Raw genomic sequence first — 14,132 nt, 5'->3', positions numbered from 1 at the left:
GTGTGTGTGTGTGTGTGTGTGTGTGTGTGCAAGCGCGCGCGTGCGCAAAATGTGCATATGTTTATTCCCCAGGAAAATTTATTTAAATGAAATTATTAAATCTTCAGCCCCACCAGGCAAAGGGATAACAGAGAACTCTGATTTCCAACCTGACATCTCCAGTGTTTCTGTGTCTCAGGAGAGGAAAAATATTATATATAAATAAAAATTGCTGCAGTAAAGATTTAATCTGAGATAACATTGTTTTAGGCTATATTGCTTTTAAAAAGTCTCTTAACCTGACAACTTAATGATCTCATTAACTCTGCCAGATAGGGAGATAGGCACTGATGCGACCAGGAAAACAAATTAGTGGCAGCATCTACATAGGCTCCTCATTGCCTAGAAGACTGGGGTTCCCAGGAATACAGAGAGTAAAAGTGGGATTGGTTTGGCAAACTGGGGGCCAAAGGGGTCCTAGCAGCTCAGCCTCTCTACATAGGTTAAGTGGGGGGAAGAAAAAAGTGCAGCCAGGAAAAGCTGAGCTTCAGGCTGCCCCTGGCAGGCTGTGCTGACCCCATCCCAGCCCCAACTCCAGTCCTGAACTGGCTGAAGGTATTCGGGGCCCTCTGGGGCAATAGAGCACCAGGAGCCTAAGGTTAATTCCTCACTGCCACCGGCTGCCGCATTTACCTCATCCAGTTCCCAGCTGGGATGCTACTTTCTCAGTACCCAGAACCAGATCTGAGCCCCAATTATTAACCGAAGTAACCATCAATGTATTTTTGTCACTGCCTCCAGGCCTTTCAGTCACCAATTACGTCTTTCCTTCCTCAACAAACACTCATCTGAGTTGGACATCAGGATGGAAAGTTTTCTCCTATATAGATAGTATAGATAACCCAAAAACTTAAGTGGAGCAAAACAAGGGTTTGGAATCTACCCAGCTGGGAGCAATGTCTATACTCCTCCCCCTGATCATTCTGGCTGAGTCAGGGCATAGTAGACTGTCCTGAAGAGCCAGTGGACAGAATAGACTTCAGAAAGAATCTGAGCAATAAAATCAAGGCAAAAAAAGATATTTTATTTTAAAAACATGTTTGTGGGTTTTTTTCCTTTTTGCATTCAGTACATTGTCATTCAGACATCACAATACTATATACAGATACACAACATTTTTTAAAAAAGCCTATTCCTGATGAACATTTCAAAAGAACACTGTTTTGTAATGCACCAGTGGGAAGGGAAGAGGCAAGGGGCCCCCACAGCACCAAGGTGGCCTTTGAGGAGGGAACTGTTAGGCAGCATCTACATCTAGCTAATTGAGGGCCAGATCTTCTTGCCTCTTGAACTAGATCCTCTAGCTTTCCTCTGGAAATCAGTAAAGGTGAAAGTGTGAGGAGTCATTCCTGGGCTAGTGCCCTGATGGAAAGGTGACTGGACAGGGACTTTGTTGAGGGACCCACTCTCCATCCCCTTGGAAGAGATGTTTATCCTTAGAAAAAAGTTCTGCTTCTGTACCTGGACTAATCCCCAACCTTACCACCTAGAGAGAGAGAGAGGAGAGAGGAGCCCTATTTAGCAGCGTGGCTGGAGTCTTTGTCCTCCTTGGATTTCCACATGTTGACTGAGAGAGCAGAACAGGGGAGGCAGTGGGGCAAAGGCAGCTCCCACCTGGCCCCAGGAAATGCAGTTTCTTGGTTGGGATGGAGTGTAGGGGCTGCGTCAATGCTTTTACGGAATTCCAGCTTTTACGGAAACATCCATACTCCAATCACGCTGCCAGGTCCCTAATAATTATCATGAGTATTAACACGACTTTTAAAATACGCACAGAAAATCTTTACTGGGAAATCTTGCCTAAGGAGTGCGGGAGGGACAGCGAAGGAAAGTATGAGCTGGACAGATCCTGCTCCGAAGCTGCGCCCTTAGGGAAGGTCCTCTAAAAGCCTGGTCATAGGATGAGGCAAGAATTGGGGCCATTCGGGATTCCCCAACCCTGCTTTGGTTGGAATGATTGGGCTCTGCGCTGCCACCAGACTTTCTGGCAAGGTGAGCGCAAGGAGGAGTAGAGGTCGACAGCCTTCCTCGCACGGCCCACTCGGGACCCATTTCCAAAGCTGTTGAAGCCACGTGAGTCCCATCTGGATGGGGGTGGAGGCTGGGGATGGGATAGGGAGTTGGGGATGGCCCAGCAGCACGGCCATGGAGCCTCTCTGCCTCCGGGCGGCGCGGTTCTTCTCTTTCCTTAACATTAAATACTCTTCTGCACCCGCGCAGCGTCTTTCCGTGGGTTCGGTTATGGTACAAAGCGGAGACATAAATAGATGGGGCAAGCAGCGGGTGGGTGGTCAGGTGGAGTGGAGATGAGGCGCTTTCGATTTGCTGACCACCTTCTTCTCTTTGACCCGCCGGTTCTGGAACCAGATGGTTACCTGGCGCTCAGAGAGGTTCGTGGTGGCGGAGATGCGCCGGCGCTTCTCTTTGGTGATGAACTTGCTAGCCGCGTATTCCTTCTCTAGCTCCTTCAGCTGCACCTTAGTGTAGGGCACGCGTTTCTTGCGCCCGCGCCGGTAGCTGCTCACCTCGGGCTGCAGGGGAACCACGTCTGCGGGGAGATAAGGCAAGCGGGAAGAAGTGAGGCAAGCGGCTGGACTGAGATAGAGGACCCGAGGCTGCCTAGGCACAGAGTTCTGGCAGGGGCTCAACGGGGCCAGAGGATTGCACTGCATAGTGAAGCTCCCTAATGCTTTTCATTTCTGTTATTTTAGCAAGACCACAACTATGATGAGGCCACTGGGCTCGAAGTTTAAGGGAGGGGGCGCCAAAAACTCAGTAATCAAGACGATATTTTAATGCAATGTTTAAAAAAGCAAAACGAATACAAAAACATCCATGATGAACAAAATATCAATTAAAAAAATAAACATGGGTTCGGTATTACTGATTTTCTTTTGTTTCAGGCCCCAATATGGCTCTTCACAGCACTCAATATTAGGATCCTTGTATATTTAGAAGGGACCCTCCAAATTCCAGCCTGGCCTGCCATGCTTGCAGAATTTCAGATATTCAGAAAAATCCCTCCTTCCTGCAGTTAGATCGCTTGGGTCCTTATTAGTTTATATTCTGCCCCGTTGCCAGAGGAAGACATTCTGTTGTATATTTCAGGGAGGGCATGGCAGGCAGGGGGTCAGCTTCAGTGGGCCCAGACCACCAGATGAGTCTTCACGCCTTTGGACACTGGCCCTACGTTAGGGATGTGAGGCACAGATAGAAGATAAGTGTCCAGGTGAAGCCAGCCTGCTTGGAGGTCCACACTCTAGGAATTGGGGTCCAATGTTATGAACCACCTAACACCCAAGGTGGGGGGTCCTGAACCTGAGATATAGGGAATCAGGTGTCTCTGGAAGTAGGGGGTCCACACTGCAGTCCCACCAAAACAGAACAAATTCTGTTCCAACCGCCTTCCCTCTCCATTCCTTCACAGCTGAAGGAAACTGTCTACATCCCTTGCACCAACCATAACCCTAAACCCTAGATGCCTGTCATCCAAACCAATATTACCAGTTCTGTTTCTTTAGGCTCTGAGAATTTCACAGAAACTAAAACCAATATATATCACTTCTAACTCCATTTTCTACTCCACCCTCATCCCTGTCAATAAAGGTCACGCAACACTTTCAAGGGGAAGTGGGGGAACTAGGGAGATTATCTGGATAGCTCAGCCCTCAATTTTTTCCATGTAATTATTAGACTTTAGGTGAAAGCTAATGAGGAGGGCTGAATATTTGGGGTTTCCCCTTCATTCCTACCACATTTTGAAACTATAGACACAGCCCAGAGGGAAGACACAAAGTTCTTTCTGAAATGTTTGTTCCCATCCCACCCTCACAGAACACTTTCCCTGTACCCATCCCCATTGGGTCTGCTTTCTCTCATGGACTCTATACACAATGGGAAGAGTAGTGGTCACAGTGAGACACAGGGGAAAACAAAATGCTCAGGAAGAAAATGGGAGACGGGGTCCAATGGCCTCATTTGACTGTCTTCTGGTGACAATTTCTCAGGAAAACTGTTGGACCTGGCATTTTTCTCTGCCTCTGTGAGAATAAACTATGATTTAAAAAAATCTAAAAAACAAAATAACTTTATTTAAACAGTATGGATCCTTTAGGTTAAAAAGGATTTGTTTTTGAACACGACCATTATCTTTAAATCTCTCAGTTCTCAAATTTGTTTTACTCTTACAGAGGTAACCATGATTTGGGAAATTGACGATTTGTTGACAAGAATAGAATGAAGAGGATATGTAGTGATACCATGAGTTTGTTGCTTTTGTTGTTGTTATTGTTGTTTTTAATCCTCAGAACATTTTTTCAGGATTATTTTGTTAAACTCATTTTACAAGATTAGGAATCTGAGGCTCAGAGTGGGTAAAATAACTTAAGTGGCAGAACCAGATTTTAAAGCCAGACTTTCTGACTCTTAAAATGATACAGTAAGTTTTAAAATGGAAATAGGCCAGCTAATACAATCCAGCTTTAAAACACCTCCTTTTCCCTGGAGAAGAATACAGTAGGGTAAAGGTGGGTTTTTGTTTCTGAATTAGCCAGATAATTGTCCCTAATTTTTTACTTTACTCTCTTTAAACTCTCACAATTACCTATCCAATTTTGGTTTCCTAAATTCTAGCTCTAAATTTCCAATGAGATTTAATCAACCCTAAAAAAAATCAGTTTAAAAAGTAGACAACTGGTTTAAACTGGTTATTTTTCTCTATAGGATGCCAAGGATTGATTTAGCCAATTTGTCCTGGATCAGACCAACTGCAGGTTGGTTTGGCCTCCTGGGGAAATAACTCCAGTCTTGCCTTCTCAAAGAAGCCCCCTTTCTTTGTCTGCTGCCTTATCTGGAAAGGAAATGGTATGTAGAGATGAAGAAACATCTGGTAGCTTGGACCTGGAGATGTGCGTACACTGCCTAAAGTGAGTGGGGGCTTAGTTATTAATCTTACAATCACCCCTTCCCTAGTCTCCCTCCAGATCACATACACGAATGACTTCATGCCTGGAAACCTAATAGACACCTTTGAGGAGTAAATAAAAATCATCTCAATGCTCAGCCATGGCTTTCTTTTTGGGCTTCGGGGCCCCTCTGTTCAGCTCCCCACAGCCCACCCACCCTTGACCACCCGCCCCCCCACAGGCAAGCTCTGGGCTCTGAAGAGTGCCTTGTCCAGCTAGAAATCCAGCTTGCTACTCTTCCCAACCCAAATCCAAAGGCTTGTCAGTAAAGACTTCTAGTGTGGTCCAAATAGCCCACTGTTTCTTTCTCCCTCTTTCTCTCTCCTAAACCCCATCTCTCTTTTTCTCCCTTTCTGATTCTCTCCTGGAATTTCTGCTTCTCTCTCTCTCTCAAAAAAAAAAAAAAAAAAAAAAAAAAAAAAAAAAAAAGTCTACACTCACCGTAGGGAGAAAAAAAAAAAAACCAGAGCAATAAAGCAAGAGTCTGTATAATTGGGAGAAGGAAGAAGCCACGACACATCTTGGCCCTAATTATCTGGATCTTGCTGAACAATTGCCTCCATCTCCCACACCAGCCCAGACTACCACAGATGAGGATTCTCAGAGCCAGAGGCACTGTAGAGAGACAGCAGTGTTTATGCCTACATGTTGCCGAACAAACCACAATTGCACAGACAGAGTTATCTTGAAATCTCACTACTTCTAAAAGATCTCTGAGTGGGTAGAAAGATGGAGAGTGTCTGAAGATAATTTCTTATTCGTCTGCCTCTTGTCTGTACCTCTGCACTCACTGAGATACATCAGCCCAATTCTATTTCCACACGGGGATTGTGGGAGCACATAGCTGCTGAGGCATGCTAGGTTTTATATCCATTTCCATGCCATAATTTGCAAGTGTATTAAATCTCAATTGGGATATACTTTTTTTATTTCAAAGATATTTTTCTCTAGGAGGCTGTGATCAAAAAAGTATTTATTTTTAGTGGAGTTTTGTTTTGTTTTGTTTTGTTTTGTTTTGTGTCCTAGGAATCTTTGAGATGTTTATTTTGCTCAAAGATATTTCTCAGCTTCTCTCCAATCCTTCACCCCTACTCCACACCACATTCATACATAGAACAGCTCCTTCTCTTCTACCTCTTCACACTAAACCCATTGCACATTGCTCTGGGCCTGTGCCCCCAATCCACAGTGGGTTTGGTGGGCACCTGATCCCTTACCCCTTAGCCCCTTGGCATAGCCCATTGGCTTCCCTGCCCCAGGAATTCCTGCTGGACCCCAATCTCCTAAGAAGCTTTGTGTTTTGGTGAGATAGAGAATTAAAGGGCCATCTCTCTAAAATACATTGCTGTATTATGAACATGTGAATTGTCTTTCTAGAAATCTATTATTGTATATTTCATATTAGGTAGTTAATAAAAGAAATCATATTATATAAAAATATTACAGCCAATACAGGGTAGGTGATGCATAATACCATGTACTAAAATTGCACCATCCTTAATTCTGGCAATCAGAAGTCAGGGTGCCTAGTGTAGGTCATACCCTGGTATTGAGTTGTGTTATACTAAGTAATTTCATAATATTCACAAGAATGTTATTTGCTACACTCTCTAATATCACTCAGTATTTTTTTTTAAACCACCTACCTCTTCTTCCAATTCCGTATGCAGAGGAATTTCAGGCCCACCCTTAGGAGGTCTTTGGGTCTATGCTTTCCAAGGAAAACATCCCTGAGCTTGGCACGTGGAGCTGGTCGGGGAGCTGGGCACTGTCGGGAGACATCTGTGGCTGCCCTGGGCCCCCCACCCCCAAAGACCTCTGTAGGTATCAGAAGGGAGAACGCTCTCCCACTGAGCTCTGCTTACAGGGAGAACAGACTCAAATGCTGGACTCCCTAGACCGGAATCCTGATTTCTCAGCACAAGGCAGGATCCAAAGCTCTTGGTGTGGTTTTGGGAAACCTGGGACTGGTCTTGTCCGCAAGGAGAGCGGTGGGATTTACAGGAGCCTTTCTCTCTTCAACTGGAGACGGAACAAGAGGGGAATGAATTCTCCCTTCCCATCCTTAGCCAGACAAGACCAAGGGGTCCCCAGCCTGGGTCTGGACTCCAGAAGCCCCTGAACAGGTCTTGAACAGGTCTTCCTCTCCCATTTCTCATCCCCACGCCCTTCTTTCTGTGTCTGGGGCACCAATAACTAACTCTCTTTCTCGACCACATATGGGGGAGTTGGCAGTGGAAATGTCTATAGGTTTGAGCTCAATATACCAAAGAGGCAAGGAAAACTTTACAATGCTGGGGAGGGATTCTAGCCTCCTCTCCACTCCCTCTCCAGAGATTTTGGATCTTCTGTTCCCTCAACAATCAGGAAATTCGTGGCCAGATTTTTAAAATAAGTCAGGAAAGGAAAAAAATAAATCTCACATTTCTGTAGACCCCAGCAAATTAGTCCCCTATTTAAAAAATACTGTCTAGTGCCTGAACGATCCTGCGAATTCTGTCAAAGAAAGTGGGGGTTCTTATTCTCCGCCCTCCCCAGTTATTCGGTGGGTTGGGGGTTTTGTCCTGGATTCCAAGGCACTATAGGCCCACCCCGCCCCCATCCCTTGCCGGAAGCAGGTTTAGGGGCCAAGAGCCCGGCGGGAGGCTGGAGCCTGCAAGGGGAGGCGGAGGCGAGCTACCGGACAGAGCAGAGCCGGCGGCCCGGCTTTCGGGCGCCTGTGATTGCTTCATTCTCGGCCGGGCAGCTACAGAGAACGTGTCGGAGCAGATTTCTTCCCCGGCGCATTCCTCAGTGCAGCTCGCCCGGCCGGCTCCATAGGCAGCCCAGCCGAGCGGGCGCGCCGGGGCCAGACGGCGGGGGTGGTTGGGGCGCGGAGCCCCGGGGCAGGCAGGGCGGGGAGGGGTCCCCGGCGGCGGCGGCGCTCGGGTCCCTTCCTTACCTGGGAAGGGAGACTTCCAGAGGTGGGCGGACTGCGACTGCTCCTTGGAGCAGTACACCTGACTGTCCCAGCCATTGGAGAGAGCCCAGTGCTGGTAGCCTTCGACGGGGATGAGGGCGTCGTGACGCGGCTCCGGGTGCCCGCTGATCCCGGGCACCACCGACACGTCCAGGTAGCCGGGCATCGCCTGGTAGGAGCTGGCGAAGCTGGGGTAGAAGGCGAACTCCTTGGCCCTAGAGGACAGGTCGTCACCGGGCAGGGCGCCCGACGGCTCCGGGTATTTATCGCCCGGGTGGTAGGCGCAAGGCTTCTGCTGCAGGTTCACGTTGTGCGACAGGCGGCAGCCGTAGTAGCTGCCCCCGAAGGGGTAGCCGTAGCCCAGGGTGGCGCTGGACGAGGTGGGGGGTGCGGGCGGCGGGGCACACTGGCGCGCCGCCTCCGGGGCCGGGATGTCCGTATAGACGGCGCCCTGAGGGGCGCCCAGGGGAGCCGGCGGGCGGCCCAGCACGGGGTGCGGAAGCAGGTCGCGGCAGTGGCTGGCCGGGCAGCTGCTGCCCAGACCATCCATGCTCGGGGCTTTGCCGGGGCTCGCTCCGCTGCAGCCACCCCCCGCTCCGCCCGTGCCGCCGCCTCCTCCTCCGCCGCCGCCGCCGATGCCGCTCTCCGCCGCGCTGTCCTCATAGACGTACATAAGGCTCTCCGGCCAGCGTGGATGCAGGAGCAGCGAAGTCGTCATGACATGATCTGCTGGAGCTTTTTAAAAACTCCACTTGCCAGAGGCAGCGAGCTAGGGAGACACCTCGCTCCTGTTTCCCCTCCCCCCATCCCTCCCCTCTTTTCTCTCCACCCCTCCCCTCCTCCTAGTGCTTCCACCTCCCTCCCTACATTCCCTCTACGCATGCGGAGACACTTCATTAAGAAATCCGCCGGCTCCCGCTCTCCACCTCTCAGCACCCCTCCCGCGCCCACGTGACCCGCTCTGCGCACGTGATGCCCCGGCCAGGTCTCCTGGGGTTCCCTCCCCTCGAGGTGGGGCGGGGCGAAAGGGAAAAAGTCTGTGCTGATTGGATCTCAGGTAGGCCAAAGGAGGCGGGAGCTGGGAGATTTAAAGGGACAGGGAGACGCCCCCGGCAGGCCCCAGGGAGGGAGAGGGAGGGGGGGGAGGCTGAATTTGGCCGACGCAAAGGGGTGTAGGGAGGAGAGCGCTGTAACTGGGCGCCTCCGCCTAGGCATAGGATGTGCACCGGAGAGACAGACCCCCTACCGCCAAGCCGATCACTGTGACTGCTGAAGTCTCTGGATTGGGGCTTGAAGCTAAGGGTGGGGAAGAAACCAGGTTTTAAAAAATAATAAATGAAGATAATAGAAAACAGTCAGGAGCGCTCTGGCCCTGGCAGCTCGCCTCCGCTCGCGGCTGGAAAGAACCCGATGCTGCGTAGCGAGCCTTTGATGCCGGGATTGTGTTTCCATTTCCTACCTTCAGCCACATTCCCCAAAACTCTAGATGTCTGAAAAGGACACTCTGCTTTACCTCGCTGGATTTTTCTCAAGCGGAGAGGGGTGTGACAACCCCCAAATACAGAATTCATCACCTGGGGCAGGGGATCGAGAGGCAATGGAATATACTCGGCAATAAATGGAGAAAGAATAAAACGAGGGAAATAAAAGCAATAGAATAGACTGATATTTCAATATGTAATAGAAATAAAAAATCTCAGAGTGAGGTTTTTCAAAGAAATGCGGGTGGTGGGGGCGCAAGATTCAGCCTGGGAAAGCTAAAAGCCCTGGATGCGAAGGAGAGCGCGCTTTCTATAGGTATACAAAAGAAAACGTGGAAAATGGGGGAGATTCAGTGCTACACCTTTGGAGGGACCTCTCTCTGGCGCCACTCTGGGGGACCCTGCAGAACCCACCTCTGCCCTCAGGGGCCTGGGTTAAGCCACATGACACAGTCCCCAGTTTGAATACCCGCAATGGAGCTCCCACGGCTTTCTTAGGTCACCCTCTTTTAGTGAGGAATAGTTTCATGATCTAAAACTGCCCCCTATTTCAAAGAAAAAATTAACACCAACTTACTGATTCTTCAAAAGCTCTCCCTTCTTTCCTCCCAATCTCCCAACTTGTCAGGAGCCTCAATAGAGTCACCCCTTTCTAAGGGAGCATCTCCGTGGAATTGAGTCAAGTTCCCTTTCAGCACAGGACCTCCCTGAGAAATCGTAATGAAGAGAGAAAAATAAGAGGGGAAAGGGGCTGCAGCGTTTCCTTCTTTCCTCCCTCTGCCACAGGTTTTAAATGCTGAGTGCTCGTGTGCAGCCAGCGCACAGACCATGGCCACAGAGCAGCGCCTCGCTCAGCCAGACCTACTGCACCCCTCAAGTGGAGAGCAAATGGACAGGTCTGCAGAAACCCCTTCGGGCCACCTCCCTCCTCTTTGTGGGGAGAAGGTGGTGTTTGACGGTTGAGAGCACCCGGACATCGGTGAGTTAGGATAGTAATTCTTATCTGCGTGATCTTCATCCAGAAGGGTCAGCTCAGAGTTCAGAAAGCAGGCTGCGGGCTGGGCTGGCATTAGGAGGAAAAATACAACAGAAAGAGAGTTAAGACATAAGGAGACCAGCTCGAGTGTGCATTGAGGGCAATGAGGGAGGGGCGGGGAGAGATGAGCCCAGTGGAAGATAGGGTCTTGCTGGGAGCCGGCTCTGCTAGGAAACTGCTTATCCTGCTGCTGGAGTCCAAGGTCAAGGTAAAACGAGGAGAGCAAACAGGGCCTGGCCAAGTCTAGACTGGGTTGTATGACGTTGGCCCCCTTGCCTAAGGCCTGGCTGGTGGGGGTGGGTGGGTGGAGACGCCTGCCTTTTTCCAGCCGCGGGTAGTAGAAGTGGAACCCAGATCCTGGCCTCCCCTTCTGTGAAGTGCTGCTCCCAGGTGGAAGTAGTGGGGCGCTGTGGACAGGGTTCTGCAGGGCTGCCAGGAGAAACAAAGGGCCTGAAACGCCCACCCCATTCTTGGGGCTCCCTCCCCGGTCAGGCCCAACGCCGGACCCGTTTTCCGCGGGCCAGGACTCAAAGACACGTCCCCAGCCTTTGGGAGTAGGAACCAGAATGGCGGGAGTGGGAACCAGAACGGCGTGAAGGATCTGGGTGCAGGGCGGCCAAGCAATAAATAAAATTAATAGTATGGTCTTTTCCAGGTTTATATGAGGGCATTAACTATTCCTATTGCAATGAGATATAGATTTAATTAATCCGGCAACTTTACAATTCCATTTATTAGGAGCACTATGCGGCCAAAATTTAGTGGCGAGAAGAAAGAAAGGGAACCATAGTCCTCTTCCTCAAGAAGACCAGCCGAAGTTGTAGGCCCCTAAAGCGACTTGGAGGAGTGGGAAGGCTGGAGGGGAAAGTTTGGGCTAAGGGCGCTAAAGGCGGCTGGGGAAGTCCGCTTGCTCTGAACAATTCCCTCTTCTTTTGCTTGGTTCCCCAAGACCTTTCGCGCCTGCAAACGCAGTCTCCAAGTCTGGGGCGAGCCGGGATCGGGAAGGGAGGCGCCGAGGCAAGAGCCTGCAGGAGGGCGGTGGAAAGTAAAGCCTTGCTGGTTAATTAACTTTAAGCCTGGGGTGGTTTCTTCCCCCTCCCCCGAAAAAAAAATGTGGATCTCGCTGAGACACAAGTAAAATCAAATTAAACACTCCAGGAGAATATGCACCACTAGAAACGTAGTAATTACATCTCCAAGGCGATCTCGCCCTAGAAAGCCTTTCCAGGGCCTGGCGCTGAAACCCTCGGCTGCGGTGCTCACCCGGGCGCGCCCCGCCGGCCTTCGGGGATGAGGCAGTGAGGTTTGACTGTGGATGAAGTTTAGAGAAAATCCAGCTGCTGGTATGCGGAGAAAGACGGAGCATTTAATTATACGAAAGGAAAATGGAAAACGGCTCCTCAGCCTCGTCGGGAAGCCCCGGCTCTGCTCTCGGCTGCTTTTTCAAAGGGACTTCTACAACCGCGGAGCGGCAGAAGCCACTCTGCCCTCAGCTACAGCTCATGAACCAAGCTCTCGGCTAAGTTCAACTCTGAAATGTTTTCTTTTAAATGATCCAACACAGAAAGGAGATATTTAATATGCTTTTTCACGGGAAGCGTCTGTGTATGTGCGTGTGCGCGTGCGCTTGCGTGCCTGTGAGTTTAGGGATGGGTGCAGGCTGCCTGCACCGTTTCAGCACACGGCCTTGTGGACACAGCCCAAATGAGTTCCTAAAGATACCCAGCTCTCTGCCTAAATCCTCTGTATGCAAATAAAGGTCTCTGCTTGTCTGTCTGTATACACTTTTAATTTACATGTTCTTCCTACGCTACTTACAAAGACATCCCCCAGGAAAATATAGAAAAATGAAGAAGCAGATGTCTGTGTCTTTTTGAAGTCGAGGGGTGGAATTCATGCCCCACTGTATCTAAGACGAAGTCAGAGGTGTAACTTAGCAACATTTGCAAGCGGAGGGTGCAAGCCTGATGCACACATTTGAGGGCTGGGTGTAGCTTCAATGCTAGGCTAGGGAAAAGGATGAAAGAAATGGCGTTTCTGTGTCCCTTATTCAATGCCCAGATTTTCTCCTCTGAAAATTAGGTGTCAGATGATTTCTCTCCCTGCAGCCCTTTTCTCTGTTTCCTCCATATGGGCGGGGGGCGGGGGGGAGCTTAAAGCGCTGAAGCTCCTGCTCCCCCAACCCGCTTTTAATGGGAGAAATTCCAGTTTTAAAAAAGGTGGGGGTGGGTTGAGGCTGTAGGAGAACAAAGAGCCTCACCACCATGGGGTCTGGATTCTGGCCCAGACTTGGGGCCTTATAGGGCAGGCAAAGGGTTTGGGGGCCCTTTCCTGTCCAAGGTTCAGGCTGCCGATGGAAGAGGAGATTTGTGGAGGATAGAGGAAGACAGGGCCTGAGCTAGCCAAGAAAGGGATGTTTGAGAGAGGCCACTTATAGGAAGGGATTGGGGGTTCAGAAAGGGCATATGAGGGGGTATACCCTTGAGGGTGTGTCAGTGTGGGAAGACCCTCCCACATGCTTGGAGAAAATTCCTGATGGGCTGCAGAGGGTGATATTGGTAGAGAAGGAAAGAAAACTGGCTGATCCTGCAGCTCCCTGGACCTGCCCAATACCCTCCCCTCCTTTTTCCGTTCCCTCCACTTCTCTGGGCTCCAGGAGGTCCCTTCGTCCCTGCAGCCATGGACCCTGCAGACATGGATGCCTCCTCCCAGGCTCCTGGATCCCTCTGGAACCTGCTCTACTTTGATCTCTCTACTCCCACAGCCCAGCCTCTGAAAATGGCAACTAGGCCTCTTCTACTAGCTTGGGAACTCACCTCCTGGACAGCAGCTGCCATCCTGGCATCTTCCACCTTTAGTGTTCTCCCTCCCTAGGCCCCCAGCTTGAGGGAAGATGGGACCAGGGTAGCTGAAGCATCACTTTGCTCCTTGTTTCAGAGTTTTCCGCTCTTAAACCCAAACTTGCCTACCTCCAGGCCCCACTTATTTTCCTGTGATAGATATCAGGGAAATCCATTCCTCTCTGCTGCCTAGTTAGGACTTGCAGTGCTGGCTAAGGTTTGGGGTCACCCGGAAGACCTTTTCCTCTCTGGCTCTGCAGGGATCCATACAGGGGGTCCAAGTTTAGGCTATCACAAATCTTCTCCTGGTTTCTCCTCCAGGATGCCCCCAGCTGCAGACTCTGCTTGGTGGTGTACTGGGTTTGGTCGGGGGACGTCAAGTGGCCCCTTCCATGGAGAACTGTCAGAATGCCTCCTCTGGAGGCTTCTGGAGTCCCTAACCCCAGTCCTCTTTCTTTCACAGCTTCCCCGCGCTCCTAGCCCTGCCAAGCTCATCACAGAGCCCCTTCCCCAACCTTCCTCATCCCCTCCTTCCTCAGCCCTTTTCTAGCCCTTACCCCATCCACCCCCTTTTCTTTTTGGGCAATATCTCAGTCTGTCACTTGGCCCCCTCCCTACTCTTACCTTTCATTGACAAAAGAAGTTCAGGGAATAAACACAGAGTTAAGAAATTAACAAAGTATCTCCTCCCGCCTTCTGGCTTCACTACATCCCCTACCCCCACCCTGTCCTCTACTGGGGGAAAAGGCCTCCTGTCCCCTTCCCTTCCCACTAAACACCCTTCCCCTTTTAGGAAGCCCTTCAGAAACAGAC

General features: G+C 50.2%; 1 protein-coding gene and 1 long non-coding RNA gene across 2 annotated transcripts; one reads left to right on the top strand and one right to left on the bottom strand.

Moving 5' to 3' along the window:
• HOXC13 (homeobox C13) lies at nucleotides 1,043-8,756 on the bottom strand. The gene is made up of 2 exons (NM_017410.3): nucleotides 7,945-8,756; nucleotides 1,043-2,587 (listed from the first exon to the last, which is right to left on the bottom strand). The coding sequence occupies exons 1-2, from the start codon at nucleotides 8,678-8,680 to the stop codon at nucleotides 2,331-2,333; spliced, it is 993 nt and encodes a 330-aa protein (NP_059106.2). The 5' UTR covers nucleotides 8,681-8,756; the 3' UTR covers nucleotides 1,043-2,330.
• HOXC13-AS (HOXC13 antisense RNA) lies at nucleotides 7,944-12,259 on the top strand. Its single transcript, NR_047507.1, has 3 exons — nucleotides 7,944-8,116; nucleotides 10,230-10,422; nucleotides 11,218-12,259. It is a non-coding gene; the product is annotated as an HOXC13 antisense RNA (long non-coding RNA).

This window comes from Homo sapiens, chromosome 12 (assembly GCF_000001405.40).
Source record: "Homo sapiens chromosome 12, GRCh38.p14 Primary Assembly".
Classification (NCBI taxonomy): Eukaryota; Metazoa; Chordata; class Mammalia; order Primates; family Hominidae; genus Homo; species Homo sapiens.
Note: the sequence above shows the minus strand (reverse complement) of the source record. Positions and strands in the feature narration are given on the sequence as shown.

Bases quoted from the DNA above. Each gene is read 5' to 3' on its own strand.
- HOXC13 (NM_017410.3), bottom strand. From the start codon at position 8,680: ATGACGACTTCGCTGCTCCTGCATCCACGCTGGCCGGAGAGCCTTATG. The intron at 2,588-7,944 runs GTAAGGAAGGGA...ATCTCCCCGCAG, and splicing joins CTGGAAGTCTCCCTTCCCAG to ACGTGGTTCCCCTGCAGCCC.